The sequence below is a fragment of the Homo sapiens genome, chromosome 2 (genome assembly GCF_000001405.40).
Source record: "Homo sapiens chromosome 2, GRCh38.p14 Primary Assembly".
Taxonomy (NCBI): Eukaryota; Metazoa; Chordata; class Mammalia; order Primates; family Hominidae; genus Homo; species Homo sapiens.
The window spans coordinates 197,117,893-197,144,767 of NC_000002.12; the positions used below are offsets into that span (position 1 = coordinate 197,117,893).

Below are 26,875 nucleotides of genomic sequence, written 5' to 3' on the forward strand. Positions count from 1 at the left end.
GCTTTTTTGGTTTTCTGGATATAAAAATAACATGCTCTGCCAGGTGCAGTGGCTCATGCCTGTAATCCCAGCACTTTGGGAGGCTAAGGCAGGCAGATCACTTGAGCTCGGGAGTTGGAGGCCAGCCTGGGCAACATGGCAAAACCCCGTCTCTACAAAAAAATACAAAAATTAGCAGGGCGTGGTGGCGTACACCTGTAATCCCAGCTACTCGGGAGGCTGAGGCCAGAGGATGGCTTGAGCCTGGGAGGCAGAGGTTGCAGTGAGCCAAGATCCCACCACTGCACTCCAACCTAGGCAGCAGAGCCAGATCCTGTCTCAATAAAAAAATAATAATAATAAAAATAATTTTTTAAAATTCTCATTGTATCACAATCAGAAGACTAAAGCAAATACACAAAAAAGAAACTAAAGTCTGGGCGTGGTGGCTCACACCTGTAATCCCAGCACTTTGGGAGGCTGAGGTGGGTGGATTGCTTGAGCTCAGGAGTTAAGAGACCAGCCTGGCCAACATGGCAAAAACCCCTCTCTACAAAAAAATACAAAAATTAGCTGGGCATGGTGGCAGGTGCCTGTAATCCCAGCTTCTCGGGAGGCTGAGGCAGGAGAATCACTTGAACTCAGGAGGCAGAAGTTGCAGTGAGCCAAGATCCTGCCATTGCACTCTAGCCTGAATGACAAGAGCAACATTCTATCTCAAAAACAAAAGAAAGAGAGAAAGAAAGAGAGAGAGAGAGAGAGAGAGAGAAAGAAAGAAAGAAAGAAAGAAAGAAAGAAAGAAAGAAAAACCTAAATCATAATTTTGTCTCTCTGCAGTGATAATTGTTGCTAGCATATTGGTACATACTCCAGAGAATTTTCTCTGTTTTTGCATCATCTACACACATAACCATAACATTTTAGCATTAAAAAAGAGATCATATTTCTTTATTGCATTTCAATGTTTTCATTGATAATACTAGGTGTTATTAGCCATTTTGATATTTGCCGTTCTTTAACACAAATGTACGTTTTTGTATTAGTTTGTATTTTTCTAATTACCAGTAATACTAGTTTTTCACAGGCTTAATGTATTTTTTATTCTCTCTTGTGATCTGACTTTTGCTCCATGTTTTCTAGTAATGATCACTTTTTCTTATTGATTTGTATGAGCTCTTTTTATATCAAGCATATTAACTATTTGCTTATCATGTATATTGAAGAAAATTTTCCCTAAGTTGCTCTTATTTTAATTTCATGTTAGAGGTTTTATTGTTGTTGTTTTGTTTTATAAATGTTTAAGACTTTTTTGTAGTCATATATATGATTATTTTCCTTTTTTTTTCCTGCCTTTGGTGTTCTGTGACCGGATTACTGTTTTTAATGCTCAGGTCTGATCATATGACCCCTAGAATGATTCGTGGCCTGCAGAGCCTGGAGAGGCCCAAGCTCCTTGGGCTCAAAATCATCCAGTAGATGAGTCCTCTTCCTTGGTCAAATCACATTTCAGCTCATTTCTGGCTCCTTTCTGTCATACAATTAAAAATAAAAAAGCTTTTTACAGACAGGATCTCACTAGGTTGCTCAGGCTGATCTTAAACTCCTGGGCTCAAGGAATCCTACACCTCAGGCTCCCAAGGAGCTGGGATTACAGGCCGAGCCACCACACTTGGCATGTTCATAAAATTATACTCTATTTGATACAATCAATTGCTATTCTGAAAATTTGTCACATCTTTCACCACTATTAGAAATTGTGAAAAAATATAAGATTTTAATAGTGAATAGAGAAGGTTATTAAAATAGACTGATGTGATATTCTTGAAATTACACCTTAGAAATCATTTTTCAAAACCAGAGACAGAATACACTGGGACCTTGCTTCAGGATCCCTGTGTGCTGGGAAGAAGGGAAGCCTGGGTTGAATAAAAGGTCTCCTAGCACAGCTAAGGATATTCTGCTACAATCTAAATGCATTCAAGTGATGTCGCCCAAATTATGAATGCTGCGTGATAAGCTCCCCTTGGTTAGCTGTCACATGGCAAGCTGACAAGTTACCTAGAGGTTTTCCTATCCAGAATTCCCACCCCTCTTTGCTCATGCTGTTCTATCTGGAACACTCTCTCTCAAATTATCTCTATCCCTCCTCAACTCAACTACATTAATCTTCCAAGTCTCCCCTCAAAATCGATCTCCATTTTTTATTCCCAAGCAAAAAACAAGTCAACAATTGCTTCTTAGAGTTTGCAATGCTTTATGACTCTTCTCATCATATCTTCTCTTGCTCATGATTACCTGAGTGCATGCTACCTCCCTACTACACTGTAAGTTCCTTAAAGGCAGAGACTGAATCTCATCTTAGAGCACTCTTTCAGTACCAAACAGAGGGCACTGGGTAGTCCTTAGTAAATTTGCTGAATAAAGGAATGATTGTGATGACCAGCTCAGTGCTACATCACTGAAGCCACTATCTGGGGTTTGCTTTAAGAAGGTATTGGCTGGGCACAGTGGCTCACACCTGTAATCCCAGCACTTTGGGAGGCTGAGGCAGGTGGATCACTTGAGGCCAAGAGTTTGAGACCAGCCTGGCCAACATGGTGAAACACCATCTCTACTAATAATACAAAAAATTAGCTGGGCATGGTGGTGCATGTCTGTAATCCCAGCTACTGGGGAGGCTGAGGCAGGAGAATCGCTTGAACCTGGGAGGCAGAGGTTGCAGTAAGCTGAGATCACGCCATTGCATTCCAGCCTGGGTGACAAGAGCAAAACTCCATCTCAAAAAAAAAAAGAAAGAAAAGAAAGAAGGTATCTGAGAAGCTCTAAACCCACACTGGAGTTGGAAACAGGCCTACAATCATTATTAGGCCTTCCTTTGAATTCTTAGCAACACTGCCCTATCAGCTCAACATTCACCTCAGTATTAGCTTCTGGGCAAGTCAATATCCTAGAGATCCAGTATTTGTCCTGACACATTCACTAAGCTAACAAGAACACACGGCTGGAGCCTTGGTACCTTTCAGCTGATACCACCACTCCTGAAGAAAAATAACACAACTTTTTTTTTTTTGTTTTTGAGACGGAGTCTTGCTCTGTTGCCCAGGTTAGAGTGCAGTTGCACAATCTCAGCTCACTGCAACCTCTGTCTCCCGGGTTTAAGCAATTCTCTGCCTCAGCCTCCCGAGTAGCTGAGATTGCAGGCACCCGCCACCACGCCTGGCTAATTTTTGCATTTTTAGTAGAGATGGTGTTTCACCATCTTCGTCAGGCTGGTCTTGAACTCCTAACCTCATGATCTACCTGCCTCAGCCTCCAGACAACTTTTCTTATAGCCTCCAAATCCAGGACAAGGCTGTGAGGTTCCAACTCACTAAAACATGGCATAATTTGCAGCAGTTGATTTTGCTCAAACAGAAGCTCAATGCAAAGGCATTCAACACAGAGACTAAGAGTGTCATACCTGAATGTTAACATCTGCCCCGTTGTTTACTAACAATTCAAGACACAAAGCACCATGAGTGGAGGCAGCAGCAAAATGCAAAGGGGTGAACCCATTATTGTTTGGCTGGTTCACGTTAGCACCGTAGTCAATCAACTCGTTAACCACAGCATCCTGTCCATTGTAGCAGGCGATGTGAAGCGCTGTATTTCCATAGACATTGATTTCATCAATCTGCAAAAGAGTCCAACACAGGGTGATTAAAGTCATTAGAGCCAGTTTACTCCATTTTCCACAAAAAGCATAACGGCTGTGGCTAGAGAAAGGAAATAGCCATCCGCCAATATAATTGTTCAGAGCTTACTCTTGCCCCAGTGTGGTCATCTTGGGAATGCTTGTCACCCCATGGTAAAGATCAGCAAAAAGTCAATGTGGCAAAAAATGAACTGGAGACAGAGAAGTTTCATCCTGGGGAGAGGTATTTTTCAGCTAACAAAGGAATAAAAGGTGAAGGGCAAAGCTGCTTTCAAAACACCAAAAGAGAAGTAAATCAGAGGAGAATGAAAAGAGTCCCACACTCTAGGATTGGGGCACAGAAAACCTCAAGAAATGGTGGGGGATGGCAGAGGAAGTGGCTGCGGAGATGGCAGGGGAGGTGGCTGTGGAGTCTAAACATGGAAGGCGGGTCAGAATCCACTCTCTGTTTTGCTCTGGAGTCCGACACCTCACCAGGTTGCATTTTAGTAGCAGAGCAGTGGTGCCGTCAGGAGGTGTGTTTCGTCCACGGCTCCCTATTGCTTTCTGAGACCTGCCCTGGATGCCTGGTTTCCTCATTATGGTTTTCCATAATGATGCAACTTGGTTTTCCTTTCTTGGGGGACAGGATGTTCCAGCCTCACCACTGCTCCTGTTCTACCAGCAGAAAGAGAAGGCAGCAGTCTGCCTTTTCCAGCTCAAGAGTAGACATTGCTGCTGTTTGTCTCTGCCATTTATTCATTCATTTCTGCTGTAAGTCATGACTTAGAAGGCTACATTTGGAAGGTGGGATGCAGAACCTTGGCCAGTCTTTAAGAACAACTGGTTAATATATATTACATAGAATCTTTATGTCTATATATTTATCTATGTTGATATAGAAAGTTATTCAGTTTCCAGTTTTCCTCTGCTTAGTGTATGCCCCCACTGCCCTTCATCAGTTGCCCACAAAAACTCAAAAAGACAGGATGCTAGAAAACAATTCCCCTGCCCTTGAATTAAAGTGCAAACAGGATTTAACTTTAGAATAACAGAAATCTTACAAATACACTGGCCATGCATTGATGCATTCATCATAGCTCACCTCCACCCCCAGGTTCAGGAGATGCTTGACAACATTAATCTGTCCATTGGAGGCTGCAGCATGCAGAGGGGTATAACCCTTCTTATCCTTACAGGTCACTTCTGCGCCATGGTTAATGAGCAATGCTACAACATCCAAGTGGCCTTTACAAACAAAGCAGCAGAAAACATCGTTAACCTTTATAGGACAATTTGCTGATTCATTTCACCTAAATTATCAACTATTAGCTTTCATCGCCACCAGTATTTTGCTGAGTTATTTGTAAAAAGCTGGTTCATGGCAACTATTCAACAAATATTTATTGAGTACCTCCTATAGTCAGGCATAATGTAAAAGCTGTGGGGAGAAAAAAGATGATTCATATGTGAGCCTTCTCTTCAAGGAGATCTAGGTGATGCTTGTTACCACACTAATGAATAATGGTGAGGTTTTGCCAAGATATTAGTAGAGAGCCTTTAAAAATGTTGTATTAAAATGAAAGCAATGCTTTTGAAAACAATTGCCATTCCTCACTGAAAAGTTTAACAATGACAATTCAGTTAGGAAAAACTGATAAAAGAAAAAAAAACAATTAATGAGAATGACCCCAGATTATTGTTTAATCATATAAAATTACTGCTGCTCAACTGTATTTGGACCCACAAAAATGGCAATTACATATGCCTCAACTTAAAAGTATCCTCATGAATTAGAGGCCAAACAGAAAACCCTTCTAGTTTTAGCTCCTGTTAGCATTTTTTTCTACAATATTTTACTCTGTTCCATAATTCACTATATATAGAATAAGCCTGTACAACATGGTGAAACCCCATCTCTACTAAAAATACAAAACTTAGTTGGGCATGGTGGCACATGCCTGTAGTCCCAGCTGCTCAGGAGGCTGAGGCATGAGAATCACTTGAACCTGGGAGGCAGAGGCTGCAGTGAGCCGACATCACACCACTGCACTCCTGCCTGGGCAACAGAGCGAGACCTTGTCTCAAAAAATAAATAAATAAATAAACAAAGAAACAAGCATATTTGACCTTTATTTCGGGACTGAAGATTGTTCAATGCTTCAGGATCATTGCTCTAAATATGGCTGAAAATTGAAGGGTAGAAGACAAGTACTGACTCCAGGACTTTGTGTGTGTGTTGGGGTGGGGGGAAAGTATTGGCTTGTTTTATTAAAATTTGACTCTTTTCTCTCCAAGACTTTATATAGAAAAAATTTTTTTCGATTATTAGTGCTGCTATCTTAAGCTATTTGCCCTGGTTTTGCCTATTATTCCTATTTGTATCCTGACAGCACACAAAACAATGATTTGATTTCTTTAGAGTCATTTATCCAAATGCTTTAACTGTATATACATCAGCAGAGAGCAATCGTGAAACTTTGCATTCTTTGAGTCCTATCCACACTAGCTTAGTGTGTGTTCGGCCTACACAGCTGTCTCCCACAGTCACTGGCTCCAGTCCTGCAGGTGCCACGCAGTCATTTCATATGCTTCAGCCAACTCAAAAATCCATGTCAACTTTTTTTTTTAAATGCTAATGCTTGTAAAAGTTTAAGATTCTGTTTTTTTAAGCCCAAGGATTCACTCAGACCCACCTTTAGCCACATAATTTATTTCATCCCTGCCCCAACCTACTCTTTCTCCCTACAATTAATGTTAATTTTTAAAGTGATGATAAAAGGCACATATGCTTGTTAAAAAGGATTCAGAAAGGCAAAAAGGTATTAAAAGAAAACCAAAATCATCCACAATCATAAATCCCCAAAGACAATCAATTAAAATTTTAGCATATAATATTTTCCAAGTTTGTTATTGTACAGATTTTTCAATGAAAATGAGAATTATATTATTTATACTGTTTTATAATATGCTTTCATTTAACATATCACAGACTCTGTGTTAATAAACACTCATGGACTCATCACTGTAGTTACTGCAAAGTGTCCCCTTGTGTGGATCTTCCAGAATTTACCAAAACAATCTCCTGTGGATGGGCATTCAGGTTGTTTACAACTTGGTGCTGATAGAATCCTGTCTATTTTTCTAATGGCAGGATGTTCTCCAATTAGAAACACAAAGGGAATATCTTAGTTCTTCATTTCCCACAAGTCTACACTTAGAATAAACTCTGTGAGATCTCTCATTTGTCAGTGGGATTTGCCAACAAAAGTGAAAAGGAAAAACGTAGAAATGTGAACTCTCCCAAGCGGGTAGAAATGAGGGCTGCAGGCTTCAGTTTTGTCGTCAGTGGACTATCAGGATAATCACCAGCGCCTCTGGTGCCCTCCATCTATAAAATAGCCAGAGGTTTGTCTTTTCTTCCTTTCTTTTTGTTTCTTTCAAAAATATTTATAAATTTAAAAAGACGAATGGAATTTGTGTCCTTGCTTTCCGAGCCAGTGCTCTTTCTTTTTAAAACACCTTATTTTACTGCCATGACAAGTTAAAATAAGCACAATCTGTGCAGCTTTCCAATCCAGACTGAAGCACATTCAAAGAGGCCCAAGCCATGATTCATTCCTCCTCTTCTTTGTAGGATAAATAAATATCTGACAAAGCAACTGCCCGACTGGAGTGCACTATGCATGCCAGTAAAACCAACCAAATCTTCATTCAATTGCAACCCAAGCTTGAAAAGAAGTCAGACTGGAGAAAACCTACATGGTCAATGAGAGACCCATGGCTTATTTAGTTAAGGTTATCTGTACTTTGCTTTCCATGCATGGAATCCTTACCCATGTATGCTGCCCAGTGCAGAGCACGCCGGTCCTTCTTGTCAAATGCATTGATATTTGCCCCTTTGGCCAAGAGTAAATTGACCATCTGAAAGATAACCAACAATGAAATCAAGCATACATTCTGTAATGGTGAGGCCTCCTCACTGCCTGCAGATGATCTGAGCCAAATTAACATGAAATCTAAAGGCAGGTCAGAGATCTGGAGTTCTGACAAAGTAGAAATATGATGTCAGAGCAGGACATGTGTCATGTGTGTCAGAGGAAAAGACTGAAGTGACAGCCTACTTTTTCAATTCATTGTGGCTCTAAAGTTGAGAATGATATAGATGCTGAAGGTTTGGTGTACAAATATTTTCATCACATTCTTTAAAATCTCAGCAAGAAGATCAGTTTCCACTTGTGGCTGAAAGTCCTGGAGGGAGCGTTCCAATTCTGAATGATAAAAATACCCACCTCCACGTGGCCGTTCAGAGCCGCATGGTGCAAGGCTGTGCGCCCCCCTCGGTCGGAGACATTGACACTGCTCAGCAGGGGAATGATCACTTCTGCACATTTGACAGCCTTGTTGGCTGCTGCCACATGAAGAGGGGTCTGCCAGTTCTTGTCCCTTGCATTGACATCAGCTGAGTGCTTAATCAAAACCTGTACTGCTTCCTACAACAAAAGCAGAGTTTGCAGAGGTCACTGACAGACGTTCAATCAATACTTACTGGTGTAAGATGCTTCACCAAACCCTGGAACTATGGAGAGAAAGGCTCCCCAACCCTACAGGCTGGCTCCAGACAAGCCAGGTAATATTTGGTAAAGATCAAAAGAGTGGCAAAGATAAAGACAGAATCACTTTACCTTTCTTTGTCAAGCCAAGAGCCCCGGCACATCTCTAAAATCAAATAAACCTTCTAAGTATATGATGATGTCCTTACAATGTAGAAGGCACTCTTAGGCCAAATGAGAACACCCATGTGCAAGTGTGCATACCAGGGTAAAATAACCATAGACAAAAAGACCTCAGACATTCTTGGATCAGTTTATAAATCTTTGGTTCTCTCTGCCAACATCTTAACCCTCAGCATCGTGTGATCAATAAGTGGTCAAGACGGGAAGTAACATCTCTGTTACCATCTCAACTTAAAGCTATGAGTTGTTTCCATCTTTTCCATGTTATAATGGGTCACTTCTTTTGCCATTGTTGAGTTCCTTCACCTTCATTGGGCCTCCCACATTTTTTCTTCTATTGGCCCAGTCAGCTCCCTAACCTCTTGATCTATGACTTTCAACCCTGGCTATGCAATGGAGTCATCCATGCAGCTCTTAAAAGCACAGAAGCCAAGCATGGGCAACATAACAAAACCCCATCTCTAACGAAGAAAAAAAAAATCGACAAACATATATACAGGTGCAAAAGTAATTGCATTGCTTTTAATGGCAAAAACCGCAATTACTTTTGCACCAACCGGGAGTGGTGTTGTGGACCTCTCTAAATCCTAGCTACTCAGGCGGCTGAAGTGGGAGCATCACTTGAGCTCAGGAGTTTGACGTGATCACAATGAGCTGTGATCATGACACTGCACTCCGGCCTGGGCAACAGAGCAAGACCCTGTCTCAAAAAAAAAAATACAGTAGTTTAAAATGATTATGGAATTAAATTCACAGACATATGGAATATTAGAAATGGAGAAAGCCCTAAGGTTCATCTGAGCTGACCCCTTCATTTCATAGGCAGCTTTATTTTATAGGCAAGATGACAGAAGTCCAGGGCAATGACCTGTCAGCCTGGCTGACTTATGGGCTCTTGCATTTTCTAACAGGCCATTTTCTACTAGGCTTACTCAGTGAGTAGTCTCAGTCAAGCATCCTGACATAAATAGATTCAACAGTTAATTCTCCTTAGTTATTTACATTTTTAAATCCTAAAGTTTTAGTCTGCTACACTGGCTTAATACATATAATAGAAATTTAATATAATATTTTGGCAAAAACAAAGCTTTGATTAAAAACAGATAACTACCTTTTTAAAAACTGCATTTCTCTTTTAAAAGTTTTAAGCTTGGAAGCTCTTTAACTTGGTTTTACAAGGGAGTAATTTGATGGCTATTTAGGGAATTAATTTTTTTTTAATTAAAGAAGTCTGCCTTCTCCTGTATCACATATTGGCTAAAAATTAATACCCAGGAGCTTGCTCTGGCAGAAATATACAAGGTAAAAAAGAAACTAATGTGGGGGAAGGGAAGCTGAACACTTCCTGAATCAAGAAAAGATTATTTTTCTTCTGTTAAATTTTTTTTAATCAACTTTTATTTTAAGTTCCAGGGTACATGTGCAGAATGTACAGGTTATATAGGTAAATGCATGTATGGTGGTTTGCTGCACAGATCAACCCATTGCCTAGGTATTAAGTCCAGCATCTGTTAGCTATTCTTCCTGGTGCTCTCCCTCCCTTCTCCCCACTGACAGGCCCCAGTGTGTGTCGTTCCTTCTCACATGTCCCTCTGTTCTCATCGTTCAGCTCCCACTTGTAAGTGAGGACGTGCGGTGTTTGGTTTTCTGTTTCTGAGTTAGTTTGCTAAGGACAACAGCTTCCAGCTCCATTCGTGTTCCTGGAAAGGACATGATATTGTTCCTTTTTATGGCTGCATAGTATTCCATGGTGTATAGGTACCACATTTTCTTTATCCAGTCTATCATTGATGGACATGTGGGTTGATTCTGTCTTTGCTATTGTGAATAGTGCTGCAATGAACATAAACATGCATGTATCTTTCTAATAGAATGATTTATAATTGGATTGCTGGGTCAAATGGTATTTCTGCTTCTAGATCTTTAAGAAGTCACCACACTGTCTTCCACAATGGTTGAACTAATTTATTCCCACCAACAGTGCAAAAGCTTTCCTTTTTCTCTGCAACCTCACCAGCATCTCTTGTTTCTTGACATTCTAATAACTGCCATTCTGACTGGTGTGAGATGGTATCTCATTGTGGTTTTGATTTGCATTTCTCTACTGATCAGTGATATCGAGCTTTTTTTCATGTTTGTTGGCTGCATGAATGTCTTCTTTTGAGAACTGCCTGTTCATGTACTTTGCCCACTTTTTAAAGGGGTTTTTTATTTCTTGATAAATTTGTGTAAGTTCCTTGTAGACTCTGGATATTAGACCTTTGTCTGATGGATAGACTGTAAAAATATTCTCCCATTCTGTAGGTTGCCTGTTCACTCTGATGATAGTTTCTTTTGCTGTCCAGAAGCTCTTTAGTTTAATTAGATCTCATTTGTCAATTTTTGCTTTTGCTGCAATTGCTTTTGGTGTTTTCATCATGAAATCTTTGCCCATGCCTGTGTCCTGAATGGCACTGCCTAGATTTTATTCTACAGTTTTTATAGTTTTGAGTTTTACATTTAAGTCTTTAATCCATCAAGAAAAGTTTCTTTAACAGTGTTTTTCAAACTGTCTGTGGTAAAGAACCAGTTTTCTAAAAATAGTTATTATTTCAAATCCATCACTTTTGAGCCAATACTTTTGTAAAATACAATAAAAAGTAATCAGTAGAATAATAAAATGAAATAAAAATGAGATAAAAACTATAAATGTAATTATTTTATTATTAAAGTTAATGGGCATGAAATTATCAAATTGCCCTAAAAGTTTCTGACCACCTACTCTTTTCACAACAGATAAGATAAAAGCTCACAGTCCAGCCCCAGTGCTCAGGCATGCTGTGAATCATGCTCCTTCAAAGCCTTTGTTTGTTTCTTTTTCTTTTTTTTTTTTTTGAGATAGAGTCTTGCTCTTTCGCCCAGCCTGGAGTGCAGTGGTACCAACCCGGCTCACTGCAACCTGTGCCTCAGTTCAAGCGATTCTCCTGCCTCAGCCTCCTGAGTAGCTGGGATTATAGGCATGCGCCACCACGTCCAGCTAATTTTTTTGTATTTTTAGTAGAGACAAGGTTTCACCATGTTGGCCAGGCTGATCTTGAACTCCTGACCTCAGTGATCCGCCTGCCTCAGCCTCCCAAAGTGCTGGGGTTACAGGCATGAGCCACCGCGCCTGGACCTTTGTTTCTTTCTTAATGAACGAACACCTGTGAGGATTCTGGTATTTCCCCCAAATGGAGGCATCAGCCCAGTTAACGTTCTGTTTTAGGATTGTAGGCCTTGTTGGATGACACCCTGTAGCAGGCTGTCCTATATAAGATGCAGAAATAATAGAAAGGAGGAGCTGTCATGGGATGTCATATGGGAGGTAACTGGACATGCCATTTGCGAGTCAGTCAATTTCTACTTTTTACAACTCTTTTTATTTAACAAAAGGCCACTTCAACCTTGAAATAAGAAGTAGAAACATACACTGTGGCACATGGAAAAGATGAGAATAGGAGGCATGTGTCTTAGAAACTATCATCCTTAATATTTGTTTCTTTACTCTCAAATGTGCATTGCATTTCAGTGGTCATAAATTACTCATGGAAAAGTAACTGTTTATGACTACACATAGTCCCTGCAGCCATAAGCAATGTCAAGTTTTATAAATTACAAGTTGCTTTAGATAGGGGTCAAAATGTTATACAACTGTCTGTACTCTCCACAAAGCCTGGCAGTTGCTTTGCACATAGTGTATATTCAATAAATTTGGGTAGAATAAATACATTGCTGTAATCATCAGCAAAGTCTGTAAGTAATAATCTGTAAGTGTTAATTTTACATTACTCTGGGCTGATGTCCCTGAGGCTGCTCTTAAGTCCTGCAGGCTTATGCTATATTACTGTAATCATAGCAATTTCATATTTTGTAAGAATTGTATAAATTGATGTCCAACCAATTTGCTCAATTAATGGGATTGTTCCTCTAAAAGTACCAAAGTACCAAGCACCAAAAAAACTCACCCATTATTTTAATTATTATTACAGCACAATTATTCTAAGAACTAGGAGTGCAAAGGCAGTTCACTGGAGACTTTGGGATATGAAAGAATTCTAAGCGAACTATTTAAGAAGTGCTGACTTTAACCATTAGGAACGGCAGACACTAAAGTATGACCAGTGTTTAATCTCAGTTCTCGAAGTGTGGCATGTAGACGACATGTATCAGAATCTTCTTTTGAAAAGGCAAATTTCTGGGCCTAACCACAGGCTTCATTCAGAATCACTAGGGGTGAGGTTTTAGAACAGGAAGTTTCAACAAACACCCCAGAGAGTTTAAATGCACTAAAGCTGGGTACCGCTTGTCTACATTCTAATAGATTATAAAATGCTTACTTTCTTCCTATTCCAGATATGACCTATATTCTACACATGAACAACTTTTTATAATCACGAAGATAATTTAAAGAAAACAATAACATTCTACTCTTCCATATAATGTTTCCAATTCTCCTGTCTACTAGCATTAAGCCCACAATAATGATCATGTTTTTTAGAGGAAAGGGTAGAACATAAGTTTTTAAAATTTCAACTGTAAAATAAAATGCTTATCCTGCTCAGCTCTGGGAAAGATCTGTATACCAGTTGGGTCTTCTGTCTGCACAGAAGCCAAAAATAGATGTGCTTTATTGGCTAGAACAGGCTCCATAAGGGTGCTAATGGGAATTGAAGAAAGCAGCACAGAATGGTGGTTAAGCAGGCAGCTTCTCTAGTCACACTTTCCTCCACTTTCTGGCTGTGACATCAACTTCGTTGGCTCCCTACTAACTTTCTGAGATTACATTTCCTAAACTAGTATTGCCAATAGCATCCGTCTCGAAGGGTGGATCAGAGGTTAAAAGAGAATAATATACAGAAAGTCCTTAGCATACTGCCTAGCAGATAGTAAGTACTTTTTTTTTTTTTTTTTGAGACGGAGTCTCGCTCTGTCGCCCAGGCTGGAGTGCAGTGGCGCGATCTCGGCTCACTGCAAGCTCCGCCTCCCGGGTTCACGCCATTCTCCTGCCTCAGCCTCCCGAGTAGCTGGGACTACAGGCGCCCGCTACCACGCCCGGCTAATTTTTTGTATTTTTAGTAGAGACGGGGTTTCACCATGTTAGCCAGGATGGTCTCGATCTCCTGACCTCGTGATCCGCCCGCCTCGGCCTCCCAAAGTGCTGGGATTACAGGCGTGAGCCACCGCGCCCGGCGATAGTAAGTACTTAATAAACACTCGTAACTACAACACCTACATGGACACAGTGTCCTCACTCCTACACTCTAAAGATAAGATACAACCATTTTTAACTTTTCTAACCAAAAGACAGTCTCTAGAATGGAGAAGTGAAAAGTTCAGCAATTCTCCTCTGATGCTCCTCTCAACTGGTTATAGCAGAAAGGGCACCTGGGACGGGCCAGCCACGTCTGCACATAGGCCACAGCAGCCTGCATGCCTGGTTATCTCCCCAAATACTGTATACTAAAACTAAAAGCCACACTTTGTACACACTTTAGGCCTCCTGTAGCACACTTAACAATGCCTTCTACCAAGTGGGCTTCCATAAACGTGCGTTAGACTTTCTGGGTTTGTGTACATTTCGTTCCTTTCCCCTACAGTTGCTCTTTTCCAAGAAAGAAAAGCAAAAAAAGCAAGAACAAGCTGAACACAGGAAATAATATGAAATAGGCTTCACATGAACACTTCAGAATATTCCCACTGGCAGCCCCAATTCTTGCTTATCTATGTTAGCTGGCACTATAAAAGATGTTTCTCTAATATTTTAGTAAGAGCCTCTCTTCATTTCTTCACAGCCTAGGGAGTACACAGAAAAAAAAAGGAGAATGAGTTCAGAGAAGCCCTTAGGGAGCCAAAAAGGAGACAGTGCTGTTGGGCTCCAAGCTGTTTCCAACCTGGGAATCCCAGATGTGCCAGATGTGGGGAGCAGGTTGGGGGTAGGAAAGGGTCGTGGAATTGTGTCTAGAAGGGAAAACACAAGACAGCCTGGTCAGCATCACATAAGTCTTCAAGACTTATCTCTAGAGCTCAGTTATATTTTAGGAGATTTTCAAGAGGTGTGATTATGTCTTGATCTACTTTCTTGTCTATGGAGGACATAATGTCAGGCATGGATTCATATTTAATCAATATTATGATCTGACACCCTTATTGCTTAACATACTCAGGAAATGAACTTAGCAATGCACCTTATTTTTCCAGACACAGAAATCTGAACATAAATCTTGCCTGGATGAAAACAAGGCTCCAAAATTTTGACTTAGACTGATATCTGTGTTATATGCAATTGCAAAACCAGCCTTGATTTTGCAGGTTTCAGTGGCTTAGTTGGCTTTTAGTGTACACATTCCCATAAACATGCTTCAACTCTGTTCACCCTGCATGCATAAAAGATTATTACCATCAACATTCTGATATGGTGTATACCAGTTCTATCTTACCAGTTGTACACAGAAAATTATTATAGCTTAAATTGAAAACCCAGTCTTTAATGAATAACTCAAAAAAAAAACAATTCTTTTCTAACTAGGCAAGATGCTAGAAATACAACGGCAAGCAATAGGCATGGCATACATTTCAAGGAGCTTACTGTCTAGAAGATCTTTTTAATTCAAATAGAACAACAATTTCTATGGTAGTTTTGTATTGTGCCAAGTTGGCTGAGTTGAACTAAATTTCCCAGAATTCCTTTCCCTGTAGTACTCCCTTTAGGGTTGGCCACAAGAGATATCTGATGAGTTTTGGAAGGCATAAGTGAAACTACAGCCTAACTGGTATGCTGTTGGGCACCAGGTAGTGTTGCAGCTTCACATGATGACACTAATCGGCTGGATCACCACGTTGGCAAGGGGCAGTGCCTGGCTTGATGCTTCTTCAGATCCTGCTGCATCTCCTTCAGTTTCTCCAATTCTTGGGCCAGGTGCATGCACAACTCCTTCTGCAAGTCACCCATGTCCATGATGTTGGAGGCAGTGTTAGACAGACCTCAGTTCCAGTTTGTCCTTGATCTCCCCCATTTTACATCCAGCTTTTCCACTGTAGACTCTGCTGACCTACAGTGACTTCAGGGCCTCACAGAATCCAAGGTGATAGCCTCACACAGACCACAGCAGCCCTACACACTTGTGTAAGATCTAATTCCTATAATAAATATCTTGCTCTGTATCTCTCATGGTGGTTCTGCTTCCCTGGTTGAACCTCAAACCCTGAGAGATCAATTATCTACATTTTATAAGCAAATAGGCTTTGAGGACAGACAGTATAGAGTTTATAAACTTTTCAATGAAGAAATGGTTTCAAACACATGAACATGTAATATCAGTGCTTACCAATCTAAAGAACAGACCTGTGCCAGCTCTCAGCTGAAACCATATATCCATCTTGACAAGTGCTAACAGTTAAATTCCAAAATACCAGTCCAAACCTTCTCTTTTCTTCCCCTCAAATCTACTTTCTTTTCCCCAACTATTAGTTAGGAGAGGCATAAAATAATGGCAATAAGACTAAATTCCAAAGAAGAAGGAAATCTGAATTTAGGACTTCCACAGGACAGCAATGTGCTTGGAGTTAAGATGTCTTCTCCACCGTCAGCTCTCACAATGGTTACAGAGACTCCAATTTTCTTTTCCTTTCTTTTCTTTTCTTTTTCTTTCTTTTTTTTTTTTTTTTTTTTTTTGAGATGGAGTTTCACTCTTTTTGCCTAGGCTGGAGTGCAATGGCGTGATCTTGGCTCACCGCAACCTCTGCCTCCCAGGTTCAAGTGATTCTCCTGTCTCAGCCTCCCGAGTAGCTGGGGTTACAGGCATGCGCCACCATGCCCAGCTAATTTTGTATTTTTAGCAGAGACGGGGTTTCTCCATGTTGGTCAGGCTGGTCTCGAACTCCTGACCTCATGATCCACCCACCTTGTCCTCCCAAAGTGCTGGGATTACAGGCATGAGCCACTGCGCCCAGCCGAGACTCCAATTTTCATAAGAAACTGTCCAACTTGCTGTGACAGATACTAATATGAAGACATCATGAGCTCATATGTGACCCAATTATTTACAGTTCAGGGTTTGTTTGCATTTAATTCCTATCTGGCTAGTGATTCTTTTTTCCTCCCTGCAAACCTACAGAGGGAGCTGGTTACTTGGAGAAGCAACAAAAGCCTTTCTCAGATTGGAAGGTCAGTCCATCATTAGGCTGACTGGATTCAAACACACTAAAGATACTTACAGAATGCAGACTGGTTGTTGATGGAAAATGGATGTTTTGAGGATTGAAGTCTTTGAAGCTAGTTGAGCTAACAAAGATAGAGATCACTTGGGAAAGGTCACAGAGTAATGAAATCATCTTTTTTGTGTCTTTCTTTTCCACTAGACTACACACTTCCTAAGGGCAGAGACCATCGGTCTTAGTTTTTTTTTGTAGCTCCATGAGCTACAAAGAAAAGGTGCCTGGCATATGGGAGGTACATATTGAATTATTTTCCCAACTAAAAAGACCTGGTTCTTGTTGAAGAGGAAACAAATCCATACATATTTTTAAAGAGACACTTAAATTTACTAAAGACCAAGTGGTCTTAAAAGGCCAGGAAATACTCCTCTATGAAGGGGTTGGTCTCATGAAGCTGGTAATACCCACTCAGTCAGCTCACTGCCCTCGTTTTCCCAGACAAAATGGAAATAAAATGTGGGACCATGAGAAGATTCTGAATTCTCCAGGGTCTGAGCCAGGCAATTTAGGATTATTGACCTCTCTCATTCCATGCGGGATATTTGGAAGGAGAACACAACCAACCCCTTTTAAAACCTACTAAAATCACAAAGCGCAGCAAGAAAAACCATGACTACTAAGCTGTCACCTAGCAAGTATATATTAAAATTTCCAGATAGTTGCCAAAGAGGAAAAGCTGACACCAATAACGGCCAAAGACACCTGCAACTTCTGTATATTAATTCTCAGCAAGACCTTTTGCTCCTAGGTGTACCTGGAGAACATCACCTTCTCCAGTAGCAGAGGAGAAGCTGCATTTGGTAAATTCAGCTATGGAGGTCAGTCATCCAGCACCAAGTGCATGCAAGGTTTGAACCTCTTGTATCCCTGGATAATGGGCATCTCCTCTGACCAGGCTTCAAGGCTGACATTCACCAGGGTTCCCTGCCACCCCTGCCTTCACATTGATCTTCTCATCCTTTATACTTCCCCTGAGCTACCTGATGCATTTACCATGGTTTGATGATCATCCTCCCTGTCCCTGAGTGCTAGACTTGTATAAATAATTATAGATAATCTATCAGTCATCTTCACCCGAATTTCCAGCATTCAACAACAAATTATTTCTTGGATGCCTAGACTGTACCAGGCTTGGGATACATCCAGGAACAAAGTACAGATCCCTGTCCTCATGGAGCTCCCACTCCAACGACATGTTTGCTGAACTCAGCGTTAGCAAACAGGACCCACCAGCCTCCCGGCCCCTGCTCCCCTGCTCTGTGCCTCTTCTGTTAACAGCATCGCCATTTACCTACCAGCTTCTTTCCCACCTCACCCCTACTAGGTACTAAATCCTGCCAGGTTTACCTCTAATGAGCTCTCAAATCATGGACTCAGCTTTATGCCCTCATCCCAGCTGCTTCAGGCCTCTTTTGGTCTCTTACTGGCGCTCCTCCCTGAGACCTCTCCCCCTCAGCCCATTCACATGCTGCCACCACAAAGGTTCTCTGAAACACAGATCTGAGCATACCACTCCCCTGCTGTGACCATTCTCCATTGCTCAGAGGATTCCAAGCCCTCTGCCATCTGGCCCAACCTCCACTATCAGATTTACCTTCTACTATAGCCTGAGTTCCAGTTATACCTCACTGAGGCCCCCATTCACTCACTTCCTTGCCTCAGTCCTCCCTCCTTCTCCTGGCCTGCTAAGTCCTTACTCAACCTTTAAGGACCAGATCAACTGACATCTCTTCTTGGAAGATTTCCTCTATTCAAGCAGGCAGTTAGTTGCTTTCTCCCGCAAGTCAATGATGATATTGTAATGATATGCTTTCTGCTTTGCCTCCTCCCCAGGCTGAGAACTCATTGAAATTCAGGATCATGCTGTCCATGTTGAACTACCCCAGATACTCCCCAGCCCCACTCAGCACTATGTCTGGCACACAGGAGATACTCAAATAAAAGCTGTTCATTTTGGGTAACCCTCTTACATTAGAGGTAAAAGCCTTCTGCTTACCAGTAAGGATTCTTAATTCGCTAGCAAGACTTTTTCTTTTTCTAGGCACAGTAGGTATTAGATTAAATATGGTAATCACTCACTTCACTTCTGGAAGCAACAGCCCGGTGCAGTGGAGTCAGCCACATGTTGTCCTTGGCATTTACACGAGCTCCTGGAATCAAACAGCACAAGTTAGAGGCATAATGGGGTCAAGGGAAGCCCTGCCGACGTTAAATCAAATGCTGTATCTTGCTCCCATTTGCCTGACATAACCACCACCTCTTCTTTTCTTTGTATTAGTCATGTGCTGACAAGATTTGATCAAGGCTGAGGGGACCAGAAGAAATCTGCTTTACCTAAAAATCTGGGACTAGCCAGATATTTTGGTAAAAAGAAGTCAGTTTCCATGAGGCTTTTGGATAGATAGGACATCAGGCCTATAAATTGCTCACTACTTTCTCAAACTATGGGGTAGGCAGATAGGCTCAAGCATGAGCCAAAACCAGCTCACACTCAGAAGAGTGCCCATGCTCAGCTCTATGAAGCCATGCCATCATCATGGAACAGAAGCTCCCTGCAAATGAATTCACAGGAAGCAGAGTTCACCCGCCTTCCATGACACCCTCGCCATTCTCCATGATCACCAGCCCACCAAGTCCATGTCTGAACAGCTAAGACATCTGATATAAGCTTCCTTTTAGGGGGTTCAGGGTTTTGATTAGTCTTCTGGTCAGAGATGGGATGTTTTATAAAAGGGCTACGAAAGGAGAGGAGGAGAAAATATGTGTATCTTTGTAGAAGCAGCAAGAGAAGTCAATTCTAGCCTTAGGATGATGAGGAAGGGAGCTCATGAGGACAGAGAGTGGAGAAACAAATCAAAGAAACTAGAAAGTAAGGCAGAGAAAAGGAAACACAGAGGTGGCGCCTCAGGACAAGGGCTGAGAAAGTGAGTCAAGGGGAAGCAGGAGCTGACTAATCTCCAAGAGGCTAAGGCCAGCTGATAGCTGGAAAATAGAAACTTTTTTAAAAGGCAGTGGACTTCCATGCGTAAACGTGAACTAGAGGTTTAGTTTAAGGCACTGGCTAAAAGTAAATAACAAATCATAGAGCTTACACTATTCTTTTCTTTAACTGAAGAAGAACAAATGCCATCAACAGCATTAATCACAGAAAACAAGAACATAATCCCTAAAACAAAGACAGCTGGAATGCCTCCCATCCAACCTCCACTTTGATTTCATTGGTTTCAGATGGAGTCAGGTACAAGGGTTATCATACTATGCTGTCAAAGTTGAGAGCCACTGATGAATTGTTGCTTAATTTATCCAGGTTAAAATTATTTAAATCCTAATTCCACTAACACCAGCTTGCCTGAAGGAGTTCAAGCTCCTTACGTCAGTAAGGACCACAGTAAAATCAGTTTGGGTGTGCAAAAATCAATAGGCATCTCTGGCCTCAGTAACAGGAAGCTGTGGGCTAAATGCTGTGGCATGAAATGAATGCGGTTTTGGAAGGACAGTGGGATTCATGGTCAGAAGATGTAGATTTGAGTTCTGATTTCAGCACCTGCTGGCCCAATGACCAAGAGCCACTAATCTGCACAGCGAGGCTAACAACAACAGTAATAATACTTCTCTACCCATTTCACCAGGTGCTAAGGAGAATTAAGTGAATAGGAAAGTGCTTTGTAAATTGCAAGGCACTAGAAAAACATTAGCAGTTCTTATTTCCAAATCACCTCCAATGTCTCATTCACCTCTAAATCTATGACTCAGATTTCCAAAGGAAGTGAAAGGCATGATCTTTGCCCTACAAAGGAAGAAGTCAAATAGGAACTTTAAGAACACAAAGAACCATCACCTAGAGACTGTAGAAATACATATCTTTTTAAGAGCAAGAGAGACTCAAGTGCTAGAGAATGCTAGGGAGAAGAAAATCCAGATGTGATTAAGAACAGCAAAATTGGTTAATTTTAAAATAAAATTACCACTACCAAAACCAAACTTCAGATTTCTTCTTCTAAATATTAGTTCCAACACAGTGTCAGGTGATGGTCACAAAGTCTACCTTTCTGGTTTAGCAACACAGCATTTATCCCTTCAGATCTTCCAACACTCTGGATTCAAACCTTTTAAAATTACCCGCCTTTACGTCAGGACTTTTCTTGCATCATAAATAAATATATGTATGACCACATTGTGTGGTAGATTTGACCACACTGTGTTTCTGTCTAGTAAGCCGAGTGCACATGTATTTCTTATTTTGGGGCTGTTTCTTTGGCACCCATGTCACAAACATCACTCAGACCATATGCAGTCCTAGAGAGCTGGAATTATTTTTATTATAGTCTTTGGCAGAGTAAATTTTGTGCTTTAAATTTTTTGTAAATTCAAAAAATGAATGCAAGTAGAAACCCAAATGTCAAGACACATATGGAAAGGTACTTCTCAAAATTCGTCAGGGAGAAGCAAATGAAAGCAGCATTTACATACCATTTCACATCCATCAAATAGGTAAAAATGATAAAGTGTGACGAGGCCAAGATTTGGCAAGGGTATGGAGCAACAGGAAAACTTAACATACAGCTGGCAAGAGTGTGAATTGGTACAACCTCCTTTGGGAAACAATGTGGCATTATCTAGTAAAATTGATGACATGCATGCCCAACCACCTAGCAATTCCACCCCAATCATATACCCTAGAGAAACTCTCACACATGTACATGAAGGTGCACCGCAACATGTTTATGTCAACAAGAAACTGGAATCCTAAATGTCAATCAAGAGGAAAATGGATAACGACGTTGTGGTATACCCGTACAATGGAATTCTACACTGTCATGGAAAGGAACAGACTGAAGTTCTGTATATATAAACAGATGTACTTTTAAAATCATAACACCAAATGAACAAATCAAGCTGCAGAATTATACCTATGGCATAATACCAGCTGTATTTCTATATGTTGTTTATGGATGCATAGATATAAAATAAAAGTTTAAAATATGGCTAAGGAGTATAAATACTAATTCTGGATAGTGACTGCGTCTAGGGAAAGAGGAATGTGAAAAGGAATGAAGTAAGAGTACCCATACAGCTGCAACTGTATTTTCAATGTTTTATTTCCTTAAAAATATATAGATATAGATATAGATATAGATATATATATAGCAAATATGGCAAAATATTAAGAGTTCCTAAAACTTAGTGGAAGGTATATGGATATTCACTATATTATTCTCCATAGTTTTCTGTATGTTTGAAATATTTTCTAACAAAATATTTTCAAGAAAGCTAGTGCATTTGAAGTTTTATGTTTCTTAATGAAAATAATGGGGGAGGGGGGACTAAGCTGCTTTTGTGTGTGTGTGTGTGTGTGTGTGTGTGTGTGTGTGTGTGTGTGTGTGTGAAACGGAGTCTTGCTCTGTCACCCAGGCTGGAGTGCAGTGGTGCGATCTCGGCTCACTGCAACATCTGCCTCCCCAGTTCAAGCGATTCTCCCGCCTCAGCCTCCCAAGTAGCTGGGATTACAGGTACCTGCCATCATGCCCACCTAATTTTTTTTATTTTTTAGTAGAGACAAGGTTTTGCCATTTTGGCCAGGGTGGTCTTGAACTCCTGACCTCAGGTGATCTACCTGCCTCAGGTGCAAGTATTTGTCTAGGATAAATAATTTAAAATGGACTTTATGTGTCATAGATAATACACACTTTCAGTTTCAAAAGGTCCTGTAAAGCCTCTAAAGTGTGCCGGTTCACACCCTCAGAATGTATAAGATTGCTTAGTTTCCCCACATCCTCATCAACACTTGATGTTATCAGGCATTAAAATATATTGTTTAAATTTTTTAGAGACAGGGTCTCACTCTGTCACTCAGGCTGGAGTGTAGTGGCATTATAGCTCACTGCAGCCTCAGACTCCTGGGCTCAAGCAATCCTCCTGCCTCAGCCTCCAGAGTAGCTAGGACTGCCAGCACATGCCACCATGCCCAGCTAATTTTTAAAAATTTTTTGTAGAGATGGGGTCTTGCTATGTTTCTCACGCTGGTCTCAAACTTCTGCCCTCAAGTGATCCTCCTATTTCAGCCTTCTAATGTTCTGGGATTACAGATGTGAGCCACCATGCCCAGCTAGACATTTTAAATATTGCAAATCTGAGTCAATAATACTGTATTATGCACTTAAACATTTGTTAAGAGGGTAGATCTCATGTTAAGTGTTCTCACCACACACACATCCCAAAAAACCCCAAAATAACAAGAACAAAGGGACACGAGGAAACTTTTGGAGGTGACAGAGATAGACATCTCTGTCTATTACCTTGATTGTGGTGATAATTTCATGGGTGTTTGTATATGTCCAAACTCATCAGGTTGTAGACATTAAATATATGCAGCTTATTGTATATCAATTATACTTCAATAAAGCTGCTTTAAAAATCAATAGGCCGAGCGCGGTGGCTCATGCCTGTAATCCCAGCACTTTTGGGAGGTCGAGGTGGGCAGAACACCTGAGGTCAGGAGTTCGAGGCCAACCTGGCCAACATGGTGAAACCCCGTCTCCACTAAAGATACAAAAATTAGCTGGGCATGATGGCAGGCGCCTGTAATCCCAGCTACTCAAAAGGCTGAGGCAGGAGAATCGCTTGAACCTGGGAGGTGGAGGTTGCAGTGAGCCGAGATCATGCCACTGCCCTCCAGCCTGGGCGACAGAGCAAGACTCTATCTCAAATACATACATACATACATACAAATCTGATTGAAAAAAAGAGCATCTCTTTGTTTTAGTTTCTGGTCTAACAATAAGGTTAGACATCTTCTAATATGTTTGATTACTAGCCATTTGTAATTCATTTTCTGAGAATTACTTGTTCATATTCTTTACATATTTCTCCCATTTTTCTGTTGTTTTTTCTTATTTATATTTACACACTTTTATCATTATTATTATTATACCGCATTCTGAAAATTTTTAGTTTTATGCAGATCCAAATTTGGCTTTCAATATTAAAACTCTTTCAAGGAGAAAAATGATCCCACGCATGCTGAACCTCATACAGTGACCCACACCCGGGGTGTAACGACACCAGCATTGTTCGCGTGTAGCTTCAGAGTCCCTTGAGAAATTTCAAGGTGATTAGAAATGTAGGCAATGGCTTCTTTCAGTCAGTGTTTAAGTCCTCCATTCCTCCATTTCTCTTTTTCATGGAGGTTGAATAGGCAGCTGCCAGGAAAACCTCCTCTCCCCCATAACAAAAATTATTATAACAAAACCAGAGTTATCTGAATGGAGACGCAAGAAGCATTTCATCAGTGTCATCTCTTGCTGCCAGCTTCCTCATCCTCTTCCTCTGAACACTTTCAAGAGTCTTGTTTACATGTCAGAGGGAGATGTCAGATGGTTTTGGCTATGAATTGAATATTTATAGCTGATTTTTTCTAAAGGAAGCTTCACATTATTTACCTGCCTGTCAGGCACCATTGTGCACTGAAGGACACAGTCTGCATGTCTAATGATTTAAAGGCAAATGCTTTTGTACCCAAGGACATGTTAAAGCTTAAACATGAAAATAAGCACTAGGGTATATTGATTCTTCAGAAACAAAGGCCCAATCCATCAGACATGATCTGTAATTACAAACTAAGGATGTTCTTCATCTTATCCCTGTTACCTCTTAATTTTATTTTCATAGAGATCAGGGGTGAAGTGAACTCTGGGCATCTTTTCCAGAGGCAATATTTCTGTTCTGTAAGCCATGTCATCTAGAAAGAAGTAGAATAAAGAAAACGGAAGTGGTGTGATAAGGGTGGACTGAGTGTGACTGAAAAATCTCACAAGCCAAAGAGAATAATTTCTTCCCAAGCTTAACTTATCTAAAGTTTGGCTTTTAATTGTTGAAGTAAACATGAAAAGTCATAAAAATATGATTATAATATAACAAAATCAGCTTGCTATTGATTTTTTTAACAAACCAAATCATACAGCACAGGAGCGCTTCAAAACAATTACCATAGAAGAGGGTATGATAATTCCATGAACGTGACAATTGCTCAAAACATTTAACAAACTCTCCTTGGAGTTGCCTTTATGGCCAATTTACACACCCACCAGAAAATGGCTTATTACTTTATAATTGCACCACATTTGTAGGCCAAAATCAGCATTGCCTGGTTTAATCACCCCTCTTTCACCAGATAAAAAATATCAAATTCATCCTCAAAGGACGAATATTTGTTATGCATAAGGAATCAAAAGAATGATGTGCCCCCAGCTCTGGAAATAATTTGCATTGAGAGTAAGAAGCACATTTTGAAAATTTTTGGGAATAATTTTGCAGGACTACCACTTGTTGGGTTGCATAAATTCTATGGCCAGATGTGGTGGCTCATGCCTGTAATCCCAGCACTTCAAGAGGCCAAGATGGGAGGATCACTTGAGGCCAGAAGTTCGAGACCAGCCTGATCAACCTAGCAAGACCCCATCTTAAAAAAGAAAAAAAAAAAAGTAAATTAAATTAAAATTTAAAAAATAAATTCTAATAAATTTTACTTAGTAGTTATGCCTCACAAACACTCCCGCATTAGAGAGTACTTCCAGTTTTCTTCTTTCAACCCAGAACCCTATAATCCTTACTTGTCCTCAGAGTTTTCTCTGTAGGATCTTTTTTTTTTTTTTGAGATGGAGTCTTTTTTTTATTTTTTATTTATTTTTTTATTTTATTATTATTATACTTTAAGTTTTAGGGTACATGTGCACAATGTGCAGGTTAGTTACATATGTATACATGTGCCATGCTGGTGTGCGACACCCATTAACTCGTCATTTAGCATTAGATATATCTCCTAATGCTATCCCTCCCCCCTCCCCCCACCCCACAACAGTCCCCAGAGTGTGATGTTCCCCTTCCTGTGTCCATGTGTTCTCACTGTTCAATTCCCACCTATGAGTCAGAACATGCGGTGTTTGGTTTTTTGTTCTTGCAATAGTTTACTGAGAATGATGATTTCCAATTTCATCCATGTCCCTACAAAGGACATGAACACGTCATTTTTTATGGCTGCATAGTATTCCATGGTGTATATGTGCCACATTTTCTTAATCCAGTCTATCATTGTTGGACATTTGGGTTGGTTCCAAGTCTTTGCTATTGTGAATAGTGGAGATGGAGTCTTACTCTGTCACCCAGGCTGGAGTACAGTGGTGCGATCTCAGCTCACTGCAACCTCTGCCTCCCAGGCTCAAGTGATTCTCCTGCCTCAGCCTCCTGAGTAGCTGGGATTACAGGCACCCACCACCACATTCAGCTAATTTTTGTAATTTTAGTAGAGATGGGTTTCATCATGTTGGCCAGGCTGGTCTTGAACTCCTGACCTCAAGTGATCCTCCCACCTCAGCCTCCCAAAGTGTTGGGATTATAGGCTTAAGCCACCACACCTAGCCTTTGTAAGATATTTCTACTGTGGTCCTTTTTCTGTGCACTCTGCTTTCTATATCTCAACCCCAGTATCTTAACTCTTAGCCACTGATTGGTTCTCACTGATCTCTCTGACTTAATCCAGATTCGACCAGTTCCCAAACAGAAGCTAGAGTCAGGAGGGAAATAAAGCCAGACCCTGGACTGGCAGTTGTAAGAAAGTGAAATTTCCAAGGGCTGAATTCTTCGCCAAGACCTTGTCTTCCCTGTCTGCTCAGAGGCATTCAGGGTTCTATCCACCTGGCTAACAGGAGATAATGCCAGCAGGAATTTAGCAAGCTTGGGTTACACCATGCTCTGTAGGTTAATACAACAATGGAGAACACAGCTATAATGGGCTGTTCTGGCAAGGCCGAATTATTTGTCCAACATGGTAATCATTAGCACCTCATTCATTATTAAATTAGGAAACAGTTTGGTTGGATTCCCTAAAGGCTCAGCTGCCAGACACAAGCTCAGAGATAAAATCATCATGCTCTTGCAATATTATGAACTTAATATATAAATTGAGTAAAGGACTTTTTGGGAAAATAAAAGTCAAGTGAATTCCAAGAGTTTGCCTCAGCTTCCACAGGTAAATAAAATTGCTAAAAAAGAAAACTTTCCCAATGCTCCCCATGCCCTAAGTCTTCTTAATTTGATGAGAGGGAGGAGGAAATTTTCCATAGCACATTGAACCAAAATTATGCTAAAGAGATTAAGAGCTCAGAAATTCCAAGACCAAACAAGTGAATAGATTAAAATATATGCAACAGCTTCTCCCAGCTCTACTAAATCAGCCAGAGTTGAAGAGAGGCTGGTGGAT

At 40.7% G+C, this 26,875-nt stretch overlaps 1 protein-coding gene across 20 annotated transcripts in view, besides 1 other annotated feature; it reads right to left on the reverse strand.

The window, feature by feature from the left end:
• ANKRD44 (ankyrin repeat domain 44) overlaps positions 1-26,875 on the reverse strand; it is a 343,767-nt gene that overhangs the window by 150,879 nt on the left and 166,013 nt on the right. For all 20 annotated transcript variants that reach the window (NR_160034.1, XR_923062.3, XM_047446287.1 and 17 more), the window contains 5 exons: positions 18,700-18,770; positions 7,945-8,145; positions 7,489-7,576; positions 4,758-4,900; positions 3,440-3,652 (listed from right to left, as the gene is read on the reverse strand). Coding sequence is in view for 18 of the 20 variants with exons in the window: in XM_047446287.1 (XP_047302243.1) it covers positions 3,440-3,652; positions 4,758-4,900; positions 7,489-7,576; positions 7,945-8,145; positions 18,700-18,770 (716 nt within the window). In the remaining 2 variants the exon portion in view is untranslated. The remainder of the gene's footprint in view (positions 1-3,439; positions 3,653-4,757; positions 4,901-7,488; positions 7,577-7,944; positions 8,146-18,699; positions 18,771-26,875) is intronic.
• Positions 19,526-20,109: an enhancer, noted in NCBI's record as "NANOG hESC enhancer chr2:198002142-198002725 (GRCh37/hg19 assembly coordinates)". NCBI's record gives its function as "activates a minimal SCP1, AML or CMV promoter by ChIP-STARR-seq in naive H9 embryonic stem cells {active_cell/tissue: H9 hESC(naive)}" and the evidence as "EXISTENCE:reporter gene assay evidence [ECO:0000049][PMID:30033119]".